This window comes from Homo sapiens, chromosome 11 (genome assembly GCF_000001405.40).
Source record: "Homo sapiens chromosome 11, GRCh38.p14 Primary Assembly".
Taxonomy (NCBI): Eukaryota; Metazoa; Chordata; class Mammalia; order Primates; family Hominidae; genus Homo; species Homo sapiens.
Window position 1 is genome coordinate 42,054,973 of NC_000011.10, and position 27,022 is coordinate 42,081,994.

The 27,022-nt window shown below is 35.6% G+C and overlaps 2 long non-coding RNA genes across 2 annotated transcripts in view; one reads left to right on the forward strand and one right to left on the reverse strand.

Moving 5' to 3' along the window:
• Window positions 1-27,022, reverse strand: part of LINC02745 (long intergenic non-protein coding RNA 2745) — an 83,737-nt gene that overhangs the window by 53,251 nt on the left and 3,464 nt on the right. Inside the window, exons 2-6 of the long non-coding RNA NR_135065.1 lie at window positions 15,562-15,675; window positions 13,776-13,893; window positions 12,643-12,758; window positions 6,824-6,964; window positions 6,173-6,480 (exon numbers count right to left, since the gene is read on the reverse strand). This is a non-coding gene — a long non-coding RNA (long intergenic non-protein coding RNA 2745). The remainder of the gene's footprint in view (window positions 1-6,172; window positions 6,481-6,823; window positions 6,965-12,642; window positions 12,759-13,775; window positions 13,894-15,561; window positions 15,676-27,022) is intronic.
• Window positions 11,965-25,208, forward strand: LOC105376641 (uncharacterized). The gene is made up of 3 exons (XR_931220.3): window positions 11,965-12,130; window positions 13,889-13,981; window positions 25,156-25,208. It is a non-coding gene; the product is annotated as an uncharacterized LOC105376641 (long non-coding RNA).

Below are 27,022 nucleotides of genomic sequence, written 5' to 3' on the forward strand. Positions count from 1 at the left end.
GTATTGGTCCTCTTCCTCCCCCATGGCTTTATCTTTAGAACCAAGAAAAATTTAGCCTCTGAGCATTTTATCAATCTTATCTATATCTATTAATCATATCAGTTGTCTTATATTTCTCCTATTACAGGGCTGTAGGGTTCTATTGGAGCAAGACACAAAACTTTAGGGTGGGAGGATGGGAGAGGGGTGAAGGACGAGAAAGTACATAATGAGTACACTGCACATTATTCAGGTGATGGTTACAAGAAAAGCCAAGACTTCACCACTGTGCAATACATCCATGTCACAAACCTGTACTTGTAACCTTTACATTTATATAAACAAAAAAACTTTAACAATTATATATATGTGTATATATATGTGTGTGTGTGTGTGTGTGTGTGTATATATACATATATACACACACATACATATATATTTTTTTCTTTTTAGATGGAGTCTGGCTCTGTTGCCCAGGCTGAAGTGCAGTGGTGAGATCTCGGCTCACTGTAACCTGCGCCTCCTGAGTTCAAGCGATTCTCCTGCCTCAGCCTCCTGAGTAGCTGGGATTACAGGTGCATACCACCATGCCCAGCTAATTTTTTTATTTTTTAGTAGAGACGGAGTTTCACCATGTTGGCCAGGCATGATGGCTCATGCCTGTAATCCTAGCACTTAGGGAAGCCGAGGTGGGCAGATCTCCTGGGGTCAGGAGTTCAAGACCAGCCTGGCCAAAAATTATAAATTCTTTGTGTTTAGATAAACAATAGTGCTAGATGTTTTTTACATTATCTTACTATGTTTTTATTCTAAAAAACATAGTTCTTTCCAAAATTTACTGTCAACAAGTAACTCTGGGACAAACTTCAAATTATTTAATGGATGTTTTCCCACACATCTGCTTTTCCATGTAGATAATTCAGTTCATTACTTTTTTAGCTAAGCTTCAAATTTTCTATTCATCTCAGAAAAAGTTAATTATTCTACAATTAAATTTCATCCTAGTATTTTATTTTATCTTACTAAATCCTTTATTTTATCTTACATAAAATAAAATAAACCTTAGATTTGAGGTTTCAAGAGGTTCATTAATACATCAGTTTATAAAAACTATTGTTATTGTCCTTTGGGGGGTTCCCTTCCTTGTTGTGTTCTATTTCATCTTTTTTCTTTATATGCTATTCCTTACCCTCCCCACAGCGTTTATTATAATGTGTTTAATATGTGTCTTTTAAAAGTTAAAATCACTGCTCAACAAAATAAAAGAGGACACAAACAAATAGAAGAACATTCCATGCTCATGGAAAGGCAGAATCAATATCGTGAAAATGGCCATACTGCCCAAGGTAATTTATAGATTCAATGACATCCCCATCAAGCTACCAATGACTTTCTTCACAGAATTGGAAAAAACTACTTTAAAGTTCATATGGAACCAAAAAAGAGCCTGCATTACCAAGTCAATCCTAAGCCAAAAGAACAAAACTTGGAGGCATCACGCTACCTGACTTCAAATTATGCTACAAGGCTACAGTAACCAAAACAGCATGGTGCTGGTACCAAAACAGAGATACAGACCAATGGAACAGAACAGAGCCCTCAGAAATAATACTACACATCTACAACCATCTGATCTTTGACAAACCTGACAAAAACAAGAAATGAGGAAAGGATTCCCTATTTAATAAATGGTGCTGGGAAAACTGGCTAGCCATATGGAGAAAGCTGAAACTGGATCCCTTCCATACACCTTATACAAAAATTAATTCAAGATGGATTAAAGACTTACATGTTAGACCTAAAACCATAAAAACCCTAGAAGAAAACCTAGGCAATACCATTCAGGACATAGACATGGGCAAGGACTTCATGTCTAAAACACCAAAAGCAATGGCAACAAAAGCCAAAATTGACAAATGGGATCTCATTAAACTAAAGAGCTTCGGCACAGCAAAAGAAACTACCATCAGAGTGAACAGGCAACCTACAGAATGGGAGAAAATTTTTGCAGTCTACTCATCTGACAAAGGGCTAATATCCAGAATCTGCAAAGAACTCAAACAAATTTACAAGAAAAAAAACAAACAACTCCATCAACAAGTGGGTGAAGGATATGAACAGACACTTCTCAAAAGAAGACATTTATGCAGCCAACAGACACATGAAAAAATGCTCATCATCACTGGCCATCAGAGAAATGCAAATCAAAACCACAATGAGATACCATCTCACACCAGTTAGAATGGCGATCATTAAAAAGTCAGGAAACAACAGGTGCTGGAGAGGATGTGGAGAAATAGGAACACTTTTACACTGTTTGTGGGATGGTAAACTAGTTCAACCATTGTGGAAGACAGTGTGGTGATTCCTCAAGGATCTAGAACTAGAAATACCATTTGACCCAGCAATCTTATTACTGTGTATATACTCAAAGGATTATAAATCATGCTGCTATAAAGACACATGCACACATATGTTTATTGCAGCACTATTCACAATAGCAAAGACTTGGAACCAACTCAAATGTCCATCAATGATAGACTGGATTAAGAAAATGTGGCACCTATATACCATGGAATCCTATGCAGCCATAAAAAAGGATGAGTTCATGTCCTTTGCAGGGACATGGATGAAGCTGGAAACCATCATTCTCAGCAAACTATCACAAGGACAAAAAACCAAACACCACATGTTCTCACTCATAGATGGAAATTGAACAATGAGAACACTTGGACACAGGGTGAGGAACATCACACACCATGGCCTGTTGTGAGGTGGGGAGGGATAGCATTAGGAGATATATCTAATGTAAATGACAAGTTAATGGGTGCAGCACACCAGCATAGCACATGTATACATATGTAACAAACCTGCACATTGTGCACATGTATCCTAGAACTTAAAGTATATAAAAAAAAATAAAAGTTAAAATCATTATTTTTTATTTACATATGTTTTTGATTTACATATAATGTGTTAGGTATCTTATGTTTTAAAGATATATTCATGTTGGCTGATACATCTGATTTACTGTTCATAACTATTACAATGTATTCCATGCCATGTATCCATCTCATTTTACTAGTCTATTTTCTTTATGAATATGCATAAGGTACCACAGTGTCCTACTATCAAAAATAAAAGCAAGAAGCACTAGCTACTTCATTAGCTTTTAAATCTGTGTGAAAGGAGGTGATATATATTCAGCAATGAAAATTTCTGTCATTAGGTGTACTAAGTTCTGCTCAATTAATCTACGGAATTTTTGTATGAATGTATGCTCTTCAATCTACCTATACGCTTGCTAGCACTTAAAATTATATGACTTTCTATTTTGGACTGCTATGTAAGTATAAAATGATGTAAAGTGTTGTTTTATTATATTTTTCTCTTAACTAATTAGGTCAGACATTGTTGATTCCTATTTTAAATTCCTTTTATGATTTCTTGCTTAATCTAAAAGTTATTTAGTCATAGGTTTTTATCATTTCCAGATATACAGTTGTTGTTTTTAATTATTTCCCTCCCTCCAGTTTACATTTTGTTTCTCTACTTTGGGAGAAATGGAAGTTTAATACTTCTACTCTTCTCCATATCTTTTAATGTTTTGTACATTTTCTATCTCTTTATCTCTGTCTTATCCCTTTTATTATTATTTGCTTAAAAGTAGTGTTATGGGCTGAATGTTTTCCCCTCAGAATTCATATGTTGAAGTCTTAGCCTTCAGCGTGTGTGTATTTGGAGATAGGGCATCTAAGGAAGTAATTAAGATTAAATAAGGTGATAAGGGTGGGACCCTGATCCATAGGATTAGAAAAGATCAGAGGGCTTGAACTCTTTTTTTGTGCATGTATAAATACGCCATGTGAGCATAGGGAGCATAAGGCAAGACCACAGTGTCTACAACCCAAGTCAAGAGGCCGCATCAGACACTGACTCTGCTGGCACCTTGAACTTGGACTTCTATCCTCCAAAACTGTGAAAAAAAAATACATTTATCTTGTTTAATTAAGCCACCTAGTCTGTGATATTTTGTTACGTCAGCACAAACAGATTAATACAAGTAAATAATTGTTTATAATCAAGATCTTATTTCGACTGGAAATACTTATGTGAACAAATGGTATAAAATGAAGACTATTTTATCATCTAAGGTACATTCGTTAGGGTGCAAACTTGGCAGCAAGAGGCAGGTGTACATGGTAGATATAAATGATTAACACAATGAATGTGTATCCTTATTTGTTTCAGCAAAAATTGCTACAAACCAAAATGCTTCCTCCCTGACCCTGTCTATCCAAATGTCATCTATAACAAAATATTTTATTTGTAATACTCTTTTTCAAAAAGATTTTTCTAAATCCTCCACAACTTGGTATGTATAATACTTCTCTAATTGGTTGATGTATTATCTTGATTGCAATATTCATAAATCCTTAGATTCATGTCAAATATGTATTTACTTTTCTCAGTAACTGGATCAATTCTTGATATAAAATAGGTATTTGATGTACAATACTATATAACTGTCTGACTACCATTAATCCATACCATAGGCATATCAATATATAAATTGCAATTTACCAGCATATAATAATTTAATTGGAAGTTATATACTTTTATTCTGAGGTGCATAAAGTCAATATTCAGTTTTTTATGTGATTATTTTTATAATAAATATTCTTGACTTAACTAGACTTAATGATCTGGGTCTAGGGCTTTTATTGCAATGATTTCAAAGCAAAATTTTTTGTTCCTGACTTAAAATGGAGATTAGATAGTGTGTTCATTATTATGGGTAAGTGTTATTACTTTTAAACAAAACCTTAGCAGAAACACCAATCTTCTTGAGATTACATAAACCGAGGCAAAGAAATGATCCCAGAAAATTCTTAGGGCCAAATTATTAGGAAGGATTACATATTTTTTTAAATAGATTGGCAAAAGAGCATCAAAGTATCCATTACACTGAACTTGCATGCAAAAACATACATGTAAGTACCTACATGCGTTTTGCTGAAGAGGAGTTTCATGGCTCTGTAAGACTGTTCCAAATGGTTTCTCACTTGATTAAAAGTGAAGAACTCCTATTTCAGGTTTTTCACAGAATTGTTTAGTATCATAGTTTGAGAAGCTAATAAAGAACACAATCTTGAAACTAAGTGTGAAAGAACATTTGATCAAAATGAGGCCCAAATATTAAGTTTATAATTTAAGCTGCACTCAAACTTGGTGTTGTTAGACCACCTCTGGTGAAGTGAAAGCTTAAACAAATAATCTTCCTTCAACTTCACTATAATCCATTAATAAAACTCCTCTAAAAGCTCTATAAAAGCTAGCAACATTATATACATAGAGGAATCCAGCTGGCATCTAACGATGGGCAACAGCTGTCATAAAAGGTTATCACAAATAGATAAAGAAAGATACATCAGTAATCACAACCAAAGAAGAAGGAATCTATGCACATGGTAGAAATAAATCCTGTCTTTCTATTCTATAATTGCTGATAGCTAACTTAATTATTCTGGAGAATTCAGAAAGAAAATTTTAAGTATAGGTCTGCTCATTTATAGGAATTACATTTACTCAATTTACAGGAATTAGGAAACCTGTTTAAACATTTCAGAAGTGAGCAAATATTTTTATTTTTATTTGTTAAAATCCAAAATCACCAATAGTTGAATCTCTGTCACTGAGATAGCCATAACTTGTTAGCCAATATTTCCATGCACCGAAGACTCCATAAAATAAGGAGAGTGTCTATACAAATACAGTGTTTCTCTCTAAAAATAAATTTTTCTAGCTCCATTATTAATTCTGATTCATTCTTTGCATATGCTTTGAACAAATTTCTGCGTGAGCAGATGTCTAAATGCAAAGAAGAAGCAGCTCCATATATTAAAAAGTTCAGCCTATAATCAAATTTAGTTTTCAAACTCAAAACTCAAGCTCCCCCTATGTGTATTGCATCAAAGGAAACTGAGCACGGATAAGTGGTTACTCTTTCATTTTTCTGGCCTTCATTGATTAATCATGGTGACTCTCTGTGGTGATTCAGGGGTTGTGTGAAATGCAATTCCAAAGAAGAGACATAAAGATCTGTCAGCTGGAAACACAGTGCATACTCAAGGCAAAAGAAAAAAAAAGGAAGAAAGAAAAAGGAAAAAAAAAAGCAAAGGATTAAACGTACCTTGACTTCAAATATCACTTGAGATTTGCTCCTCAGGGAGAAGCAAAATTTCTTGACATAAAATTTCAAGTGTAAAATGGATACTCTCCTGAAGTTTTTAAACATCTCCAATCAAATACTAATTTTATAGTAGCCTCACTACAAATCCCCTTCCCAAGGGATGTAGGCAGCTTGTCAGAAATCTGAGGAATTGCACTAGTGACTCGATGAAAAACACGGCAATCTTGTATGTTTTCCTTACTTTTCCATTTAGCATATCACATATCCTGAGGTGTTTGTTTTAAACATACTCACCCACATGGATGCACCTAACACAGAAAGATACAACAGCAAGTTACTCATCCAAATTTCGACAGCTAATCAACAGGTTTATTCAAGACAAAGAGGAAAAGTGCAGTGTTATGAGTTGAACTGTGTTCCCCAATATTCATATGTTGAAGTTGTAACCCCTCATGCTGCAGAATCTAACCATATTTAGGGGTGAGATCTTTAAAGATGTGATTAAGTTAGAAATAAGGCTGTTAGGGTGAGCTCAAATCCAATCTGACTGGTGTCCTTATAAGAAAAGGAAATCTGAACACTCTGAGAGACACCAGGGATAGGCACACACACAGGAAAAACCAGGTGAAGACATACTGAGAAGTCAGTTACCTGCAAACCAGGGAGAGAGGCTTCGGGAGAAACCAGACCTGCCAACACCTTGAGCTTGTAGCCTCCAGAGATGTGAGAAAATTAATCTCTGTTGTTTAAGCCACACAGTCCATGGCATTTTGTTATGGCAGCCCGAGCAAACTAATACAGGCAGAAATAAAAGTTAATAAAAAACCGAGCTTTTGTATCCAACATTCAAATTATTCTCTAAGGTACTATGCTGTGCCTAGGTGATATGTAATTACCCGTGAATGTGACACTATTGTGTTGTTCAGTAAAACTTAGTATATTGTTATAAATTTAGGGTGCTAATTAGTTTATCTGCTTATTCAATCACAGTAATTGTACATAAACTCTGCACATTTTTTTCTAAGCCATGTTACCTGCTCTGAAGGAGCTTACAGGGTAATTCTGTGAATAAAACATAACTATTTAATTATTATATTTATTTAAGCTGACAGTATATGAGCAATATAACATGGGTAAGGTAAAAAGGCTATGTGACACCAAGGTAATACACACACACCTCATCGATTTAATAATCAATACTATGTTTAATTGGTTATACCATGACACATGATGAGTTGAACTATTTATATTCATGCTCAGTAATCACAAAAATTCTGGGAGCTAGGCATTAATGTCCCCTATTCTCCAATAATTTAAACTGAAGCTCAGAAATTAAGGAAATTGCTCAAGTCCATATAACTAGTAAGTGGCAAACAGGACGTGAATTTAGGTTAATCTGTCAACAAAGCCTGTGTGTTTAAATGACATGCTATGTAAAGATCTGGTCTCCTAATGTTTTAAATAGGATATATATATATATATATATATATATATATATATATATATCCTATATATATATATATATCCTATATATATATATAATGTATATATACTATATATATATATTATATATATATAATCCTATGGCTATTTAATTATATATATATAATTTATATACATATATAATTTTTCCAGACATTTTTCAGTACTATAATGTGAAAAATGAAAGACATGTATTAACTTTCTTAGTTTGCCACTGTATGTCATATATGTTAATTCCTATATAACTTATTACCATTAAATGATGCTAAGAGCTGAAAAAGATGTTCAAGGAATTCTCATTCAAGTCTCTTATTTTCAGTCGAAGAACTGTTATTTAGGAAAGTTGTAGGACTCATTGAGTTTTAAGAAGCCAGAGAGTATAGGACAGTACACTCCAAGTTTAACCAGTCCATGAAATGTTGCTGGTTTATGATGATATAAGTAGCTTGCCACAGTATATTTAAAAAATAATACTATTAATAGTTGACTGATTCCTTCATTGAGAAAGTTTTGCCATGGAAATTGTCACCAGGACTATAATGATCCTCTCAGAGGCTTTGTTCATTTACATTTAAAGCAAGATTCTCATTCCATTGTGGAAAATTAAGTCTCAAATCAGAAGCCCTTTACAGATCTCACTTGGAGTATCAATGGAAGACAGGACTGGTATCTTTAGTGCCTGGCCTAGATTTTCTTTTTTATGCCATACTAGAAAAAGAGACAGAAAGCCTTGAGTTCAGATTATAGCTCCTTGTCTTATTAGCTATGTAAGCCACGTAAGTTAATTTAATGGTTTAAATAAAACATTTTCCATCTCTGCAGTGAAATAAATAATACCTCCTTTAATATACAAGCTATCAGGTAAATTAGAGATCACTGATATAAATGGGACACATAACAGGTACCCAGGTACCCAATAAATAGTAACTAATATTAATATGTAAAACCTACAGAGGAAAGTTTGTTTAAAGCACCCATATCTCTAAAATAATTTATAATGAAGAGAATTTACTAAGCAACACAAATTTTGTCTAGAAATTATAATGGAATTTCCTAAAATACTTAGTCTTCTAAGAGCAGCACCAGCAGCAGGGCAATGTCAGAAACAATACCAATATGGATAGCTGTTAAAGCTACCAGAACAAAATGCATCCCACTTTTGTAACTCATAAAAGAAGCAACAGTAATGATGGGAATTCTATTCTCAGCCACCACGGAATAAGTTGGACTGGACTTATACTGTAAAAAATTTAAAACAAAGAAATTACAATATATTTTTAAAAAGTTGTTTTCAGACAGTAGATGGCATGTAGTACAAAACTGTGTTTCCTGAGAGTAGGAAAGAAAACAAGATGAGCCTTAAATTTGACACAGATTTTTGCCCGGAAGCAATATCTGGACAGTGATGCAGTGAGAGCCATCCTAACCAGAAAATGGCAGTCTCACTGAGTTGATGAGACAGAATAAGAGTTCAGAGAAAATGAGGTAGCTGGAATTTGCAGAATAGATTTCTAGAAAAGAGGGAGCCATAGGGGAAAACAGCCCCCCTGAGAGGCCCCTTAAGCCTTGGCTGTGAAACTCCATGAGGCTGGGCAAAAAACAACCAAGTACAATAAAACCTTAACAATTCCGGAAACTCACATAGAGCTTGAAAGCATTTGAATTTCACCCTGGTAAAATGGCCAGTCATTATTGAATACTAAGGGCATTCAGGAGAGACCCTAAAGAGGCATTCAAACCAGAGCGACTCCATCTTGAGTGAGGACTAGGAAAATGAAGCTGGGACCTGCTGGGCTGCATTCCCAGAGTTAGATATTCCCAGCTTCTCGATGTTTATGTTTAAGGTAACAGATTGATAATGTTTACTAAACAGACCCGGACTTGGGAGTGTCTTGATATACTGATAACCTGAGAACAAAGACATTCCTAATTTTGCCTTAAAGATAATAATATCGAGTCTTACAAAATATAGCAATTAAGAAAATTAATCATTTATCACAAACCCTTATAGAGGAGTACATCTGTGCATGCTCTTTTTTTTTTTTTATCCTATATATATTTATGAGCATTATACCTAGGGTGGACGCATTCCTCCTCTCATTTACAGGAACGCCCTACTCTATCTATGGAGTAGCTGTTCTTTCCCCACTTTACTTTCTTAATAAACTTGCTTTTGCTTTGCACTGCGGACTCGCCCTGAATTCTTTCTTGTGCGAGATCCAAGAACCCTCTTTTGGGATCTGGATCGGGACCCCTTTCCTGTAACAGAAATGTCATGCCTTTACTACATGCTGTAGCTAAATTATATCCAAAGTAAAGACTTCACTAGAATTTCTTTTAACTTAAAAACAAGCTTGAAAATATTGAGCCAGTATGCAAATGTTTTAACTACCTGATGGAAAAATGCCCCACGTTCTTTAAAACAATACAATTAAATGGAACATCCAACAGTATAATATATATTGCCATGTTCAGCAGTCAGTGAAAATAACCATTTCAAGAAGCAAGCAAATGTGACTCATACCCAGAAGAAAAAGTAGGAAACAAATACAGATCTAGAAAACTTAGAGGTGATAGAACAGGCAGATTTGCATTTTAAAACAGCTAAACATTATGTTCAGTTGTTTAGAAAACAACATAAAGGTAAGAGAAATAAAGGGAAATTCTAGAATAAAAATATGGTATTTTATTAATTGTAATGAGTAAAATTTGATAAATGAATTTAATAAATTCAATAAATTTTATTAATAAATTTATTAAATTTATTTAATAAAAATAATAATTTTAATTTAATAAAAATCTCACTGGATGAAATTGACCTCTAATTAGAGATTGTACAAGAACACATTAGTGAACTTGAAAACATAAAAATAGAAACTGTAAAACTGAAACACAAAGAGAAAAAATAAAGACTGAAACCAACTTTTCAAATTCAAAAAATGCTGGGAAAGGATGTTAGTTTGGCTTGACCTATAAGCCTATTCCTGGAACACTCACAGTGTCTATGGAGATGGGATACTTAATTAGCCTATGATGAGTTTCCTAGTCTATTAATCAGGCTAAGCTAGGCTATGTTGAGGTAACAAATAGCTCCAAACTGTTAGTGGTCTAAAATAATAATGATTCATTTCTTACTCATACCAGAGTAAGACATTGAGGCTGCAGCTCTTCTCTGTGTCGTCTTTAATCTAAGATCCACACTTACTGAATAGACTCAATTTGGACTAATACCAGTATGATAGATAGAGAAAATAAGTATAGCACACCATACGTTGGCTCACTACGTGGGATACACATTACTTCTGCTCACATGGAATTGGCCAAATAAGCCCCATTGATACAGAGGAGGGGAAGGGAAGGGCTGCGAAAGGAAGGGCATGGTCCCTTTAAATGACACAGAAGTGGGGAAGGGCGTGGTCCCTGGCTAGGGCTCCCTTCTGTGCCTCTGCCCACGGACCTAGGTGAGGACAGGCATTTTTATTTTCCTGCCCAAATGTTGCATTTCCCAGGACAATCCTGGCCTGCCACGCCCCTATCCCGTGCCTGTGAAAACCCGAGACCCTAACGGGCACACACACAAATGGCTGGACGTCGAGAGAAACACACTGGTGGAAGAAGACACAAGCAGCTGGACGTTGCGGGGAGCACGCCAGCAGAAGAGCACATGACAGACACCAGCACGCTGGCAGGCCGTTGACTGGTGGAACGACATGGAGTTTGGCTGAGGCAGTCAGAGATGAGTCAGCAGCCAAGCAGCCAGACTCCAGGGGAAAACCATCTCCCTTCTGGCTCCCCCATCTGCTGAGAGCTTCTTCCTCTCAATGAAGCCTAGCAGTCATTCTCCAAGCCCACGCGTGATCTGATTCTTCCGGTACACCAAGGCAAGAACCCCGGCATACAGAAAGCCCTCTGTCCTTGCAATAAGGCAGGGGTTGAGCTAACACAAGCCACTTACGGATGGCTAAATTAAAAGAGCACCCTGTAACACACACCCACTGGGGCTTCAGCTGTAAACATCCACCCCTAGACACTGTCACGGGGTTGGAGCCTCACAGCCTCCCTGTCTGTATGCTCCCCTAGAGGTGTGAGCAGCGGGGCGCTGAAGAAGTGAGCCACACCTCATCGCACAGCCCTGCGAGGAGGACAAGGGAACTTTTCCCGTTTCACCATGACCGTGCTTGATATTATTGAGAAAGAGAAATGTAATCCTTCTACAGGGAAAAGTAGAAAATAGTTTTAAACAGTAATACAGTCTACTAGTGTACCTTTTCAATCATTGATATTCGCCCTTATTTTTCTCCCTCATTCAGAACATGTCTATCACTATTTTGGCTGACAGAGTAGCTTCGATATAGAACATTTCTCATCTCGTAGAAGAAGAATGAGTACCACATATTGATTCTACAAAGCTCTTCCAGGAAATTTCACTCAGATTTTATTGGCCAGAGCAGGTTACAAGAGCATGCCTAACAACAGGTGAATAGAGAAAATTAATCTTCATCCTGGGAGGGATATGAATATTTTTTATCAAAGCTATAGTTTATCGCATTTGGCCTCTCATTTGAGAAGGGAGTAGACATGATGTGTGGCAGCTCCAACAAGACTGCCGTTTGGATAAATATTTGTCTTAGTGATAATATGTTTAAATGAATTCTATGGTAAATTGAATTTGGGAACTGCTGAAGACAGGATCTTTTTGTTGGTAATTTACAATGTACATTAGCATATTAAACAGTGTGAGCAGAGCTGCAATAATAATTTTATTATTATTGGACTTACATAATCTTATTATTATTGGGCTTATATAATCAATTTAACCCCAAATACCCCAAATTGTTGACTTTGAGACCTATTTTCATGCTGAGAAATACTGTGATAGTGATATTAGTTCCAGGAAGTTTTGTGCCAAAATTGACTCATAACATTTACCAGAAATCTCTCTTGAAAAGTCTGCAAATCTTTAAATTTGGAAGTAAAATAGCTCTCACCAAGTTTCTTCCCTTATTCTATTCCCAAGATTTGTCATGCATTTCCTTTGCCACAGTCTAACGCCCCTTCAAATTTATCCAAAATTTCATTTTTCAGAAAACATTCTCTTCTTTTTCTGTTTAAAAAAAACCCATTTTATATTATTTTGTGAGAGTTACTACATTTGGCCCTAGAAGAGAATAAAAAGTCACATTGTTATTTTTTTCTATCTTTTCAAAATTATAATAAACTATCCAAAACATAAAATTTGCTATTTTGACACTTTTTAAATATACAATTTAGATGCACTAATTACATTCACAATGTCATGCAATCATCACCACTATCAATTTCCAAAAGCTTTTATCGCCCCAAACAAAAATTTAATAACTCATTAAGCAATAACTTCCGGTTTTTGTCTTCTCTTAGCCCCTTGTTTAATCTCCTTTCTGCCTCTATGAATTTGCTTATTCTACATATTTTATATAAATGGAATTATACAATATTTGTTCTTTTGTGTCTGACCTATTTCACTTAGCATAATTTTTAAAGATTCATCCAGGTTATAGCATGTATCAGAGCTTCATTCCTCTTTATAGATGAATAATATTCCATTGTATGTATATATCACATTTTCTTTATCCATTAATTTTTTTGATGGACTTTTAAGATTTTTTCAGCTTTTGGCTATTGTAAATAATACCTCAGTAAATATTAGCATACAAATATCTGTTTGAGTCCCTGTTTTTGATTTTTTTATATGTATCTAGGAGCATATGGCTGGGTCATATGGTAATTCTGTGTTTAGCTTTTTGAGGAACTGTCAAACTGTTTCCCATAGTGGTTCGATTATTTGCCACTCCCTCCAGCTACGTACAAGGGTTCCAATTTTTTCACATTCTTAGGTTGCTTATTTTTCCATAGCTATAAGTCTTACCATGAATACTGGATCAAATAACATTCATTACAAATACCACGAATTTCGATCTTGCATGGCAAGATCCAAATTCACATCTTAGAAATGTTAGAATGTTACACCATTACTCACTTATGCATCTTTGTATATTCTCGTACTATTTTCATTAATGATGATGACACTGATAATAAACATCAAGGATCTACTCTAATCAGAAACATTGAAAAAGTAGCTTACCTTGTTGAGAGAGACTGACTCTGACAAAATAATTCCTTAATAAGTTTTTCTCGATCACATCTCATGATTGTATCAAGTAACTGATCATGTTTTGTTTTGTTTTTTTCAAATAGATTTCCTGCCAAGGAAAGAGATATTCACCCATTGTAAACCATTAAATGAATTCTCTACTACGAGTGAGCACCTTGAGAGCTGGACAAGACAAGGTGACTGTTTTTTAGTTCTTGTTCCCCCAGCATATTCAAGGACTACAAATTCAAGAAGAAGGAAAAGAAGTGAGGTCATATCTATTGAGTTCCTAGTATAAGAAGTTTTTCACTTAATATTCACAATGGCACAATAAGCCAGGAAGACAATGTAAAGAAGTAGTTAAGCATCTAGATTATGGGTTCAGATTACTTGGGTTTAACTCCTAATTCCGATCCTGAATAGCTACATCACTTTTAGCAACTTTCTTGCATTCATTCATACACTCTTTCATTCAACAAATATTTACTGAGCATTACATGATGTGTGTCTGTATTGACCTAAACAGACACAATCTGTCTTTTGGAAATTATACATTACTTGGAAATATAACCATTAAAAAGCCATAAACAAAAATAAAGCCTGGGAAGAGGTTAGATAATAATCTGTTTTCTCATCTAAAATGGAAATAATAATAACTACCCCAAAGGTCTGTTGTGACAACTGGAATGATATAATCCATATAAAGTACTTAGCAGAGTGCTTGGCTTTTAGGCAGTGTTATAAAGGGATGAAGAAACTAATGTCCACCTAGGTTAAGTATCCAACCAAGAGTCACTCAGCTAGGAAGTGGCAGAGCTAGAATTGAAATATAATTTGCCTGCCCATACTTAGTTTTTCATCCAAAGAGTCTACATGCTGAGAGATACAAAGAGAGAGGGAGAGAGAGAGAGAGACAGACAGAGAGAGAGAGACCAACACAGATGCATTTCCTGGAAAGTAGTTTTGGTCTATCATTACCAAAGGCACGTTTCCCATAAATCCTGTAACTATCATGAAAAAGGAGTTGAGATGAGTGAGTCACTTCCATATTTGGGGTCATGATGGACATTGTTCCCAAAGAAAGTGTTCAAGATAGGGAATCTGTAAAGTCCCATTTCTTTCTTTCCTTCCCTGGAACAATAATGTCATATGATCTTGGGGCTAAGGTTTTAAGAAAAAGTTATCTATCCGTAAAATTCAAACACCTTCTTAGGCCACTGTAAATTATGGCCAGAATGAGAATTTGGGGGTGCTCACACACTCTTCTGTCACCAACAAGACCAACAGAGCTTTTTTTTTTTTTTCCCCAAGTTCTAAGGAATTGGTTAAAGTTAGAATCCACACCCACTGCTAAAGTTGGCGATGGGTGTGGATATATGCTTGATCCCGTAACTTCCTTGGATTTCTATATAAATTGGGTGATAGCATGTCCCAGTTTGCCTGACAGTTCACATGTATGCTGATTGCATTACCATATTATTAATATTCTTTCCTTTTCTTATAACAACCATCCCTCTTTGTAAAATAAATTACATGTCCACCTTATCTATGTGCATTTAGAGGCATAGAGTGCCTAACAGTTGCTAGTGGTAGAACTTCTGAATGAAGGAAACATTGGGTTGTTTAATCGCAGCCTGGAAGACATTCAAAAATTCATTCTTATAGGGTACTTTTTCCTTTGACATGATGCTGTTCAATTTGAGATTTACATCTGTTGGCTAATAATGAAACTGCTAATAGTACTTGCTCGTTATTTTCTGTGCTCAACTTTACATACCTGCATTTCAAGTGAATAAGTGGATGTCCAAACAAACAGGATAACCCAACTGTCTCTGTGGTGATGTTTCAGGTTATTAGTGAAAGTTTCATATATAAGGTTTTTATCCCTCTCCTTAAATAGAAACAAAAAACAATTAAACTTGTTCAATAGAAGCGATACTGATCTAAGAGAGAGGTGAGGATTATGGTGCTTTCAGACTTAATGTGCCTTTAGTTGCTTTGTTTTCTAACTGAAAATTGGTAAGCAGATTAAAAAGACATAAAAAATAAACACAATCTTGTGGCAGGTGTTCCTTGGCCATACGAAAATGTTTCAGAGGAGGTTCAACTCACATTATCCTCTTCTCTGGTATCCAGTGAAAAAGCAAACCGCCCCCGACTGCCTCCAAAAAGAAAAAACCAACACAAAATCTCTTAAAATATCCCTCTGGCTTTGCATCAAGGGATGGACCATTATCCTGAGTAAAAATATACATTAAGTACTTTCCAAAATCTGATTGTTTTCTTACCCAAAACAGTTTTAGAAATTGGAATGTTGTCACGCCTGTAATCCCAGCACTTTGGGAGGCCGAGGTGGGTGGATCACCATAGATCAGGAGTTCGAGACCAGCCTGGCCAACGTGGTGAAACCCCATCTCTACTAAAAATACAAAAATTAGCTGGGCGAGATGGTGGATGATTGTAATCCCAGCTACTTGGGAGGCTGAGGCAGGAGAATCACTTGAACCCGGAGAAGTGGAGGTTTCAGTGAGCCGAGATCGTGCCACTGTACTTCAACCTGGGTGACAAGAGCAATACTTCGTCTCAAATTAAAAAAAAGAAAAGAAAAGAAAAAAAAAGAAATTGGAACTTTGAGCTGTGAGCAAAAATTAAAGCCTAAACTTCTTAATTTGGCATTCAGAGTTCATCACCTGGCTCCCATCTACATTGTCCTCCCCCTAACTTTTTCTTTGCTACAAACAAATTGAACTACCTGAATACCAGAAAACCTACTCCTTCCTGTCTTCACAGATTTGTTCACACTGTTCCTTCCATCTAAGGTGGTTTTTCCTTCCGTTGCAACAAGTCTGAAATCCATTTCAAAGTCTAGTTCAGCTGTCAAAAATTTCTAATAAATACAATTTCTTTCACCCTTGAATATCTATAGAATAGTACCTCTTATGTTATAGGCATTTATGCATTCATCTGATTTTCTGTAAAACATTGTAGGTTCCTAGGAGGCAGGTTTTATATGATCTTTTATACCTTATTAAATACCATCATGGGGTTCATCATAAATTTGTTACCCAATACCAGTTTGTTAAATAATAAATCAATATATAAAGGAAGCAAAAGAAATGAGGGAAAGGAGAATGGGAGAAAAATAAATTGTAAGCACAATCTTTCCAGGATATTAGAGTGTCTCTCATTGTTGTATATTGTGAGGCCCAAAGTATATGACACACCTCACCCCAAATGATGATAAAGACATACACTCTTGGGTTTTATATTAACTATGTAAAGTACTTGAAATACTGGCACACAGTAAGTGCTTTTTATGATTGTTATTTTTACATAATTTGCCAACATCTCAACTCAAGCCTACAGAAGATATAGTGGCTTAGTGTAATGGAATGGGGACACAATTTGACTCAAAGCATTCAAACTTTAGCTCACTCATGTACAAAAAGTGTCCACTGGTTAAGGGTGTTTAATCTCCCTGATCCAAAATTTTTCTTAAGTATAAAATAAGGATTATAATAGAACTAATGTCATAAGGTTGTGCTAAGCATTAAATGAAATAGTGTCTGGAACTTAGTAGTCATTTAATGAATGGCAGCCACAGTAGTAGTCAGAGACTCAATTTCTTAATCAATTTATTGTTTGTAATTTGTTTCATAAGCAGTACTCTAGAGTTATTAAGCTGTTAATTGTAATCTTTTTAATGGTTCGTAATTTTAGTATATACTGCTCATACATTAGCTAGATGCACTCACCTCCTTTTATACATTTCTGGGAAATTATCATGCACATCTTTTGTTTTTTTCTCTAACTGTCTACACCTGTGTCTCTCTTACAAGGACTTACAAAGACTTCTCTTAAATTACTGAGGCAGCTTTCTGATTTGCTTTTGCATGCAGTGAGTTGGCAGTGCCTGTACCCTTGTCTCAAGTAAGGATAAAGTTTAGAGTACAATTACAACATGGATGTTCATATGAGATTCAGCTATCTCTGAGATTTTGCCTTAAATTGCCCCTTTAAAATTGCAATTGGCTTTTTCCTTTCCTCTGCCCAGATTTTCCTCAGAGCATTTCCATAATGAATTTTTTGCACTTGAATCCTTGTCTTAGGGTTGGCTTCTGGGGAAACCAATCTAAGAAAATGACATATTACAAAGGAAAGTAGAATTGAAAACTTTGGCATGAAACATCAATCTTTATTGAGTTGAAGACACTTTTACTGCAGCAGTATAACCATCCCTCCCATCCCCAAATTGATTTATTTTTACCTTGCCAGACTTCTATAGTACTTACTGTCTATGCCGTATTTGGCATTTAACTTGACCTACTAGTTTTCTAGTACTGTGTAACAAATTACCACAAATTTAGAGGCTTAAAATAATATACACTTATTATTTCACAGTTTGTATGGGCTAGGAGTCTAGGCATAGCTGTCCTGGATCCTCTACTCATGGTCTCACTGGGCTGAAGTCAAAGTGTCAGTCAAGACTCTAATCTCATTGGAAGCTCAGGGTCCACTTCCAAGCTGTGTGGTTGTTGTCAGAATTTAGTTTCTTGCTGTTATCAGAGTAAGTCACACCCTTTCTTGTTGACTATTGGTGAGAGACTGCCCTCAGCAACTAGAGGCCATCCTTGGTTCTTTGCAATGGGACCCCATCCATACTTAGTTCACAATAGAGCTGTTTTCTTCTTCGGTGCAAGCAGCAGTAATCTCCCACTTTGAATCCATCTGATTTCTTTTAAGCATTCATCTAATTAGATCAGGCCAACCCAAGATAATCTCTATTTTATTAACTCAAAGTCAACTGATTAGGGACATTAATTAAATCTGATATTTCCATTCTGCTAAATAACGTTACGTGATCACAGACATAATGACCCATTATATTTATAAATTTCATTCACACTTCAGGGAAGAGGATTATATTGGGGATATTTAAGCAGAGGGGCAGAATTTTGGAGACCATCTTAGAATTTTGCTTACTAAATTTGTCTTCTATGCTTACTTACTGTATATAGAGCCCTTTGCTGGGGGGTTGATGCTCCAAAATCTAAAATTAATGAGTATTTTAGGAAGTGATTTTGATAGTGATGGTGTTATTATAATTTTTTTTCTAAAAGGGAGATAATAGGACTGTATCATATGGTTTCCACAATCCAGATGTCAAATCAGAAAACATTCTCCCCACCAAAAAAATTAAAACAAATACAGAGGTAAATGTAGGTATAATTTATGTAGCAATAATTTGATTTCTATGATTCTTTTTTTTCCTGATGTGGAAAATGGGTATAAGATTCCCCCTCTCATTGGGTTGCTAAAAGGATTAAAGAAAATTATTAGAGAAATACCTGACAGATAATAGGTGCCTAACAATTGGAAGGTACTTTATCTTATTCCCCACACAGAATGACTTAACTAAATTTTGTAGAAAGAAAAGCTATTTTTAAGAACGTGTGGAACATGTTCTTTTGAAAAGCAACAGATGCTTTGGGAAGTAATTAACTAGTGCACATAGAAGAGGACATTTATCAGTCACAGAAAGCATTTTACATAAAAAGGCAGTTTAAAAGAGGTAAAGAGAATGAGAAAAAAATGGCCATTGCAAGCTGATTTCTTCCCCCAGGAGAGAGTTTAGGGAGGGAATTGTGGTATGGGAAGTTATCAATTAAGTTCCATATTTTGCAAGTGGTAAGATATTAAAAGTCCAGAGGTCTGGAAACTTGATGGAATTTATGGGCCCTATCCCATAAATTACCCACAAATTACATGTTTCCTAGAATATGTCTTATCTTGGTGTCTGGGGACTTCAGGGCTTCAGCACAGGTGCATAGTAAGACTTTGAAAAACATTACTCAATGAAGTATTTAGAATGCTTGTCAATACATTACTTCTATATGCAAACAGTCAAAAAAGTATATAATTGTGATAGAGTTGTTTTTGTCTTGGTTTTTAAGTAACATTTATTGACAGCTTACTGTGGACCAGGTGTTGTGCCAAGCATTTTGTATCTATGACCTAATGCAATCCATGGTGAATGTGTATCACAATTATTTCTCTTTTACAAACAAGGAAACTGAGACTCAAAGAAATTAACTTGCCCATAAAAGCTAGCACAAAAAATAGGCACAAATCAGGTCTGGAATCCTGTTTTGTATAAGTCCTAAGCTGTGCCCTTAAGCTCTCTGCCACCATGTAATTAAAATAATATGCCCTTAGCATTCTTTTGTATGAATCTTGGTTGTCAATTAGGAATCACCCTGCTAAGATCTCTTCAGGGGACCTTTTCCACAGGGTTTCCTGCTTTGAATTCACTGATGTATTTCTATTTTGTGTCCCTTGTGGGCTGGTTGGCAAATGAAAGTCAAGAGCAAACTGAATGAAATTCTAGCAGGAAGGAACCTCCAGTGAATGCTTCATTTACAAGGATGGAGGCATGCTTATTGGTTTCACCCATGCTCTCTAAAGCATTCACACTTGCTAGTGTGTTAACAGCAAAGTCCATCACAAATGACTATTTCCACTTTCAAATCATCTCTTATTATCTCTGCTCAGTGACTGTGAGCAGGTTTAATCTATTCCTCTCCATTCAAACCATTTTATTCTAACTACCAAATAACATTTCCCATTTTCCATATTCAGGGAAAGGCTGACTCATTTAAATAGAGTTTTGCATGACTTACTTAAAGCTGACAGTTTGCATGTGTGGAATTTAAACTCTCTAGAAATCTGGCGAATTCCCTTAGATTTTATTAGTTTGTAATTTTTTGAAAAATGCAGTAACATCCTAGCTTGAAAAGATATTGGTGATACAAAAGAGCTCTCTTAATATCAAAACAAATCTCCTGAGTCGGGGTCAGTACTGTATCTAAATGGTAATTCTCCTGAATCCAGGTGTAGAATTGTGGATTCTATACTCCTTTCTTGTTCCAAATCACTTTTACATAACTTTGAACTAATTTTCCCTCAGGACTTTAGGAATCTTCTATAACATAGGGGCCATATTTATATGAAAGCTAACAGATGTGATTGGGAAGAGTTTACATATGTGGGTATACATATGTGAGTATTGTCACAGAAAATAGTTTAATGTGCTACTAAAATTGTAAACTAAACTATATTTTTACGAAGAAGTTTCTTGACAACACTTTACTCTGCCCTATTTGGGTAGATAAAACACAAACGTTTTACACAGTCTCTAAGAGAAAACAAATAGAAAGTTAATCAGAAATAGTTGCCCATGTAGAATGGCCACACTATCTTACACATGAAAGGCATACACTGGTTATCAAATGTAAATGGGGATCCAAGTCATAAAATCAGAGAAATTCTAAGTTTTACTTTTTCTATTTGGTGACTATTGGAAAGGTTACCTAACGAAGATAATGCTTTAAGTTTACTTACCTGTAATGTGGAGATAATGACAATATTTCACAGACTTATAAAGATTAAATAAGATAGAAACGTAGCCTCTCAAAATATAACTGTACTATGTTCTTCCGTTTCCTTCCTAAGTATGCTCCAATTTCATTAACAACTTGCTTACAACCAAATCTCGAATCTAAAACTGGAATAAGCCCTTGAATGTACTTAGCTGTTTCAAAATATTAACTATGAATTGAACCATGAGCAAAATCAATTTAAATTGTAACTTCTTTTTGTGTTCATAATTAATTGAACTAGGTCAGAACCAAAGCATCAAAATACTATCCTAATAGAACCTTAATCAAATTATATTTGATCAGTTTAGTTTCATTACCAGCTCACTGTTCCATCTTGTAGATGGAACACTCTTTAATATCTAAGATATCTCTTATTTCACTTCTTGTACACTCTTTAATATCTTAAATATATCTTATTTCACTCCTTGTCACCCAGCCTGAATAAATAGCTCATACGATTAATTTTTTTTTTTTTTTTTTTGAGGCAGTCTCGCTCTGTCGCCCAGGCTGGAGTGCAGTGGCGCGATCTCGGCTCACTGCAAGCTCCGCCTCCCCTGTTCACGCCATTCTCCTGCCTCAGCCTCCTGAGATTAATTTGCTTTAAAAATAAATAAGGCCATTTAACCCCTGCCACAGTTTTTTTCATCTCTATATGGTAGTAACAAAGAATATTCTACCTTTCTAACCAGATATTTGAAATACTAAGTCAGATAATCGACATACAATTGCACTGATAAAATACTATAAGTTCAAAAATTATTGTTTAACATAGAGATATCCAATATATTATGCTAAATTTTTAATGTTAGTAAAATTTAAACACTGCTGCCATTGAAATCCACCAATTTATGATTATTACCCCAAATATAATCATGCCTTTCCTAATTATGTTCTAAAAGAATGGTTGTAAAACATCGATAGGGATCGTGTGTACTCTGGATATAAAACAAAGTCACATAATCAAGACCTCAAAGTGTCTCTCACCAGTCTTCACAATGCAAATTATGAAGTAGAATAAAGCAAAAAAGTAGCTTAGATTGACAAAATGTCTTCAACTTTCTTCACTCTCAAAGTACCCTCCTATTCTGGGTTTTACTAAACTTAAGTCTGTCTACATACTTGAGACCAGATCATCATTTTGTTTTACAGTGAGACTGTCCTTGTACCAGCCTAAGAGATATTGCTGATTTGATAACCCTACCAAATGCGTGCTGTAGTAATATGTGAATATTTTAAGAAGGTAGTATACTGAGGTAGTGAAGAATTTGGTCTCAAGAGATAAACTGCCTGGATTCCCCAAAGCCCTGGCTTTGAATCTCTGAACAGATCATTTGACCTCTCCTTAACTGCTTTTCCTGATTTAAAAAATAGAAATAATTATAACAATCTAATTTGTAGGATTTTAGGAGGGCTAAATCGGATAATAAAGTATACTTAAAACTACTTCTTAAGTAACTATCCAAATTTACTGAAGCTGAGAATTAGCATTGTTTGTTAGATTATCTCATAGAAAGATAAATGTAAGAGTGATTTTTCACAATGCGTGCAGCTCATTCACCTGAGAAACAACCAGGTGATTATTCTAGCTGAAGTGAAGGTGTTTTTGGTCATATTTATAGACTTTCTCATATAGACATTGGGAAGCAATAGTGACCAAAACATGACTTTCATTTAATGAGATACAAAGGTAATTGTTTTAAATTTTTACAGAAAATTAACAAGTACTATCTTCCTTCTACATATGAGATGACACTTCTCATTCCCCTTGTGATTTGGTGGGGTCATGTGACTATAGCTAGTCAATGGAGTCTGAGAGTTACTGTCACGTGTCACTTTCATGTTGAGGCAGTGAAAAAGTTTGTGCAACATTCCAACAGTCTCTTCCTCTTCTGAAGTTGAGTGTGAAGGCAAAAATGGAGAGCCATGATCTAGCAGCCTGGATGTATTGCATCTGTGCATCTGTGCTAGCAAGTTGTCAGCAGAATTTGTGTGAGTGAGAAACAAACTTTGTGTTATGTCCCAAGAATTTTAGGATTATTTGTTGCCTCAGCATAAACTTAGTCCATCTTACAAATACATGTTTTGTTAAAAAAGTCATTTTTGTATTTACAGATATTCTGTTTTCTTATAAATCTGCTCCTAGTAAGTGACCCATACTCTTGACCTATTTGTTTTAAGACTAGTAGAAAATAGTCACAATTGATAAACACAACCATTTTCCCATTGAGAATGAAAAAACTAAACATGATGATCTCATGAAGAGTCAGCTTCCACATTTGACATTGAATATTATAAGTGTAATTTTTCATGCTCACTACAAATACAGTCACTATCACAAAAAAGTACAAGGTATAAATATAGTAGAAAAATAAAAATATTTACTACTATGATTATGCCCAACCTCTGTCAAAAACTCTGAAGGGTCTGAGATTTTATCTTATTTGCAAACTAAAAACTTAATAGACACAGTTTTATGGCAGATGGCAGAATACATAAGACTCCTGGGTCAGAGAGAAACAGCTTTGTTACTTATTGCAATAGTAGTATGTAGAGTATCAGCATTTGTGTTGGTTCTCAGAGCCTCAAATTCCATGGAATGTTACAAACAAAAAGACTACCTGCTATGTAGAAATGTGATATGTGTTTATAGGAAAAGGACCCAAGCTTAGAGAACTCAAATCCTTGATGATAGACAGTGAAACTGCCTGGTCATTGCCTAGCATGGAATGTCATCTTTACTATGCTGTACATTAAACAAACCTACACTTTTCTCTGGAGGGAGATATTATTGCTATCTTCCAAAGCTATTTGCTGTACAAACATCCTTGAAAAGATAAGACAGAACAAAATGAGGCAGTGTCTTTGCTTGTAAGACATACAGAAATGTGAGGAACTTGGGAAAAATTGTCAAAACATATACTCCTCATTCCTACATTGTCTTTGCTTCTAACAAATTTTTCTATGAGTATGATACTTCCTTGACCACTCTAATGAATCTGAGCAATATAGGGTGAAAATAAATCATTTTGTTTTGTCTCCTGTAGTATTGAAAGGCTTATATTGACAGTGATTCACATAGCAGAATGAAGTCAACCTACAGTGCTGACCTCAACAGTGCTTCCTATGGTCCTGAAATCAACAAGTTGAATGAGTTGAAATTATTAGGGTATAACTTAGAAATCCATGTAGATTTCTGCTAAAGCGTCTACATCGACATTTTCATTTGGCCTATGGCATTAATCCAGGTACAGAAGGACATCTTAGTTATTGCACAAAGCTGGTTTGCAGGAAGAAAGTCTAGGGTAATTTAATCATCCATAACAACCCTGGACAGTGAACCTGACCTGCATGTATTTCAGGGCCAAGGTGTTGTCATTGGTTGCTTCATCAAGAGTCAGAAACAAATTTTGATCAGTTTTTCTAATTGAATGACCTCTATTAGGACACTAAATGATATCCATTGGAATAACTATTTGAAAAGCACACAAAAATAATACATTAGTTTTCCCTCCAAGAAGTAATCTGAGTAACCAATGGTAACCTTACTTTAGAGCAATCTCTGTAGTCACCTGAGGGCTACATGGCCTATTGGTACTATTTTCTTAAATACTGGAAGGTCTCTATAGCTACTTCTAAAGTGAAGTCACCATGTTCTTAGGAGGAATGCATGCTCTTATCCAAATTCCACTCACAAATTGCAGTCTCAAGGGTACACATGGTACCTCTGGAAAAAAAGTGATTTATTTTTTACCCTACATGTGGAATCTGCACGAATCGGAGGATACAGATTGATGGTACCTTCGTCATAGACTCAGATGACTGGTGGCCATCGGGTACCTAGTTCAGTTTGAATAATTGAATCTAATCTTTCTTTCTGAAGAGATTGCTTGAGGAAAATCAGTTTAACTGGTTCTGTTTGTTTATACCAACAGAACAAACAGTTTGAGTGACATGCACCTGCCCCACAGAAAGACGGAGTGTCAAGTACGTGAATGAGGATGCGGAAGACATCTGGATCTTTTGATAGATATTTTGCATTAGGGAGATCAAGAGTTGGGACTATCTCTTATTTTCAATGGACTTTTCCTAAGGTTAAAGGAAACATGTTCAAATCATGATCAGCCTAAATAATTCTATGCATTATTCTTCTAAGTCTTATAATTTTTTTATAAATAGTGTCCATTTCTGTCTTGTTTTATGTGATTATTAAAGACATTCTTCCCTTAATTTGTAGCCTTATAAGTTAAAAGTTCATATTGAATCATTTGAGAATAGATAACTATACTCAAAGTTGCTAAATCATAGACTATTTGATAAGACTACCTAACAGCCTTTAGGGTATTTTGCTGCTGTTAATACTGCTGATAATGATGAAAAATAATGATTAAAATTTATTGAACATTTTTCTATGCTGAAATTTTGTGAGATATTTTTGTAGTTTCAACAACTCTTATTGTATGCACTTTGCCCCATTCCATATTTACTTCCAGAGGATAGGCTAAAATTAAAAACAAAGGGATGTATTGAGACTAGTTTTGACATGATGAGAGTTTTTTTTTTTTGAGATGGAGTCTCACTCTGTCACCTAGGCTGGAGTGCGGTGGTGTGATCTTGGCTCACTGCAACCTCCGCCTGACAGATTCAAACAATTCTCCTGCCTCAGCCTCCCGAGTATGTGGGACTACAGGCGTGCACCACCATGCCCGGCTAATTTTTTGTATTTTTAGTAGAGATTGGGTTTCACCATGCTGGTCAGGCTGGTCTCAAACTCCTGACCTCATGATCTCCCCTCCTCAGCCTCCCAAAGTGCTGGGATTACAGGCATGAGCCACTGAGCCCAGCCTACATGATGAGAGATTTTATCTCTTAGAATTTGTATTTTTCCTGGCCACCCTGGGAGCTCAGGCCTTACATGTTGCCAGAATCTCTATGTTAAATGAGATTTAAGCCTATCTCTCAATTAAAAGTTGGCTTTGTCTGGAAGGTCCAAGGAGAAAGGGCTAATCATAAATTTTTTAATTTAAGCCTTAGGTCAGATGCATTGTATTAATGTTTTGGGCTGCACATGATTTAGCTACATTTAGAAAATGAAGAGTTCTTTATAGATTGTAGAAACCATGCTAGGTTTTGTATTAGGCTGTTCTTGTATTGCTATAAAGAAATACCTGAGACTGGGTAATTTCAAAAGAGAAGACATTTAATTGACTTATGATTCTGTGGGCTTTACAGGAAGACTAGTGCCTGCATTTGCTCAGCTTCTGCAGAAGACTCAAGAAGCTTACAATTATGGCAGAAGGTGAAGGTCGAACAGCCATATCACATGGACAGAGAAGGAGTAACAGGAGACAGAGGTGTGCCACACACTTGTAAACAGCTAGATCTTGCAAGCACTATCACAAGGACAGCACCAAGCACTCATGAGAAATCCACCCCCACATGATCCAATCACCTCCCAGCAGTTTCCACCTCCAATACTGGGAATGACCACTCAACATAGGATTTGGGCAAATATACAAATTGCATCAATATTTCTCACTGTACAGCAATCCTTTTGCCTTGGTTTTCTATATCAAACCCATCAACATTTAATGATTTATGAATAAAGCACTGATAGCTACTGGGAACATCTAGAACTCATGTGCTCTATCTCTATTCCATGGAATATCACCCTCTGCTATACTGGCTTAAATAAATATTTCACATTAGCAGACATAAATTCAGTTTGTCAGATCATGTTCAGCCCAGACATCATTTCCCTTTCTTTTATTTCCTAAATCGTTAAGGTCTAAAGTCAAAGCT